This window comes from Homo sapiens, chromosome 16 (assembly GCF_000001405.40).
Source record: "Homo sapiens chromosome 16, GRCh38.p14 Primary Assembly".
NCBI lineage: Eukaryota > Metazoa > Chordata > Mammalia > Primates > Hominidae > Homo > Homo sapiens.
In genome coordinates, this window is record NC_000016.10 from 17,569,156 (window position 1) to 17,572,484 (window position 3,329).

Sequence of the window (3,329 nt, forward strand, 5' to 3'; positions counted from 1 at the left end):
CTAACTCTACTCCCTATACAGAGATTCAGAAAAAATAATGTATTGTTAATTCCACGAGGTTGTTGGTTTCTTACAGAAACATGTGCTGAGACAACAGCTCTTGCTCCCATCTTTCTATCCTCCCCACACCTATGCCAGAGCTTTCTGAAATACGAAATCATGCCACGCCCCAACTTAAACCCTCCCGCCATCATATTCTCAAATGTGACTAATAATAGTAATACAAATTGCAGACTCCTGGTATTGACTTCAGTTATTTTTACTATACTGTTGCTTAAGTATGTGCCAACATAAAACTCGGCGTAAACTTTGTGTGCTAATAGCTCTTATACAATGGTAAAACCACACTTATAAATTAAAACGATAAGACTATAGAACCAATAAAATTCAAAGGAACAACATTCATTTAATGGGACAGATGAGTTCGTTTTGCCAAAACTAAAATGCCGCTCGCAGAGTGATTATGGCCTTGGGTTGGCTGCAGCAAAGTGGGTTATTTCTCATGGAGGTGCTTCTTCATGCTCTGGTCCCCACATGGCTTAGATCCTTACTCGGGACCCAGCTGGGATATGTTTGTTTGAACACCATGACCTGACACTCTTTGAACCTTACTTGGTACAAAATCACCCTCTGTAGATCAAATCCACCTCCGATCTTTTCCCATTAACCCATGATGCTGAAAGACATACTAATTGGCACCAATGGTATCATAAATAAACATGCAAGCATGGGCATTGAAATCGCATTGCAGTGTCAGGTTATAAATAGGCCACCTAGATAAACTAAAAATGCCTACATTAATTTAAAAACTATCAATGAAATAAAAAGAATACAACAATAATTAGCATTTGTTGAGCAACTACTATGTGACAGGCACTGTTCTAAGAACTTGGCTTGTGATAACTTATTCCATCCTCACAACTCTGTAAGGCCAGCACTAGTATTAATGCCATACGACAGATGAGAAAACTGAGGCTGAGAGAGGTTATGTTGACTTGTCCTAAGTCACTCACCATGTGTGCAGAAGTTTTCTAAGAAAAGTCCTCAATATGAACTCACAGACCTCTGATCAAGAATCAGGGATCTTGTGAGGTTCCTGGGCTCCAGCCTGGGATCACTAGCTCACAGATTGAAGTTAAAGCTCCCGAGTTTGGCAATAGAAGGCTTTCTTCATCTTGCCTATTGACTTCTCACCCTTTTCTCATTCTGATCCTCTTCTCGTTGCACCTCTATACTTCTGGGCTATCTTGAAACTCCAAGAGGACAGCAAGCTCTTTGACACTTTTCATTACCTTCGCTTGGAAGTCTTCCCTCTGCCTGGAATGATCTTACCCCTTCTTACCTGGAAATGGACTATGTGTTCTTCAAAATGCTCAGTGGCATCTCTCTAGGGTGCTGTTCCCAAATACAGTTGACTCTGGAACAACACAGGCTTGGAGTGTGTGCTTGAAGTTCATGTCCATTTATACTTGAATTTTTTCAATAAAATTTACACCAAGTGTGCCTGCCTCTTCTGCCTTCCCTTCCATCTCCTCCACCTCTTCCACTTCTGCCACCCAAGACAGCAGGACCAACTCCTCTTCTTCTTCCTGCTCTTTGATTTAACGTGAAGATGACAAGGCTGAAAACCTTTATGATGATCCACTTCCATTTAATGAGTAGTAAATATATTTTACTTATGAGTTTCTTAATAAATTCTTTTTTCTAGCTTACTTTATTATAAGCATACAGTATATAATACATGTAACATATAAAGTATGTATTAATTGACTATTTATGTTATTGGTAAGGCTTCTAGTCAACAGTAGGCTATTAATAGTTAAGACTCTGAGGAGTCAAAAAGTTACATGTCAAATTTCAACTGTGTATGGGGTTTGCATCCCTAATCTCTGCATTGTTTAAAGGTCAGCTGTAAGTTCTTTGGGATCCCACCACACCGAAGTCTCCCTTCTCTTCTCAAAGACATCATTATCCTCCTCACAGCCTGTGCCCTGGCAGCCTTACAGAGCTGAACCAACCAGATCCTTCTCCTCTCGAGGTTTTAAATTAAGACTCTCAGAGACTGCGGGAACTTGAAGTCAGAAGCTATGCTGTGATAACAGCTAGCACTTATTTAGTGCTGACATTGTGCCGGCCCTGTTCTGAGACCGTTGCATATATCACCTTATTTCAAGCTCACAGCACTCCTACGCAGGATATCGTCTCCCCATTTTACAGGCAAGAAAGCTGACGCACAGAAAGGAGGATGCATTCTCCATGGTTGTGCCAACAGTGGAGCACCTGCATGTGAATCCAGAGTCCATGCCTTCAGTTATGACACCTTATTGCTCCAGTGATTGCAGGAGAACTGGGACTGGGGCTGGTGTAATGGCAAAACCACAGGCAATCTGGAAATATACAAGATCAGAAACTGAGGAGTGGGAAAAGGAGAAGCTGGTTCACAGTGAGTAGAACAGGCCATATAGGCAGACAGAAGCAAAGACAGGATAAAAACCAACCCCAAGATGCAGAGAGAGTCTCTGTCCTAGTTGGACCAATGCCCCAGCCACTGCTCAGCCACCTGCTGTGCATCTTATTTGGAGCCCAAGTCTCTCATGCAACTTTTCCTTTCTTTTCCATTGACTCGTTTTTTTAAAACCTGACTCAGACTGAGTGACATTTTTTCTTTCCTTATCACCTATACTAAAAAACTCCAACCACTGGAAATTCACCAGCTCCGATGTACTCTAAGGCCCTGCTGCTATGCATTTTTGCCACACCTAAAAGGAAGCTCACCTGCTGACTCACCGAGCAATAACTGGGTCCTACTTACGCCGACATTTTTAAGCAGAAGTGTGCCTCGTGCAATACTTAGAACATATTTATACTAAAAAATTATTTGCTGTTTATTTGAAATTCAAATTTAACTGGCTGGTCTGTATTTTATCTGGTAACCCTTACCTGGAATTCTATGAGAAATGCAGACACCCAGGCTCCACCCCAGACCTAATAAAACAGAATCTGCATTTTTAACAAGATCCTTGGGTGACTCATGTGCACAAGAAAGTTTGAGAAGTCTGGCTAAAAGATGAATTAAAGGCAGTCCAGAGACAATACAGTAGCTCCTTGTCCACCAGGGACCCAAACCCTTCTTATCTTTCCATTCCAATATACTTACCTCATGCTTTCTACCCTTAAGGTCACTTCCTGGTAAAGGTTGCCAGCCTAAGTCTGGCCTCCAGATAGAAGCAAAAAGAAGATGCCAACAGACATTTCCCAAACCCCATAGAATGGCCTCCACTCCCATCTCATTAGCTGTTCCTATTGCAAGGGGAGCTGGGAGATGTAGT

General features: G+C 41.8%; 1 annotated feature.

The window, feature by feature from the left end:
* Positions 2,130-3,329: an enhancer, noted in NCBI's record as "P300/CBP strongly-dependent group 1 enhancer chr16:17665142-17666341 (GRCh37/hg19 assembly coordinates)". NCBI's record gives its function as "activates an origin of replication core promoter dependent on BRD2, BRD4, P300/CBP, MED14 and CDK7 cofactors, with strong dependence on P300/CBP, by STARR-seq in HCT116 cells {active_cell/tissue: HCT116}" and the evidence as "EXISTENCE:reporter gene assay evidence [ECO:0000049][PMID:35650434]".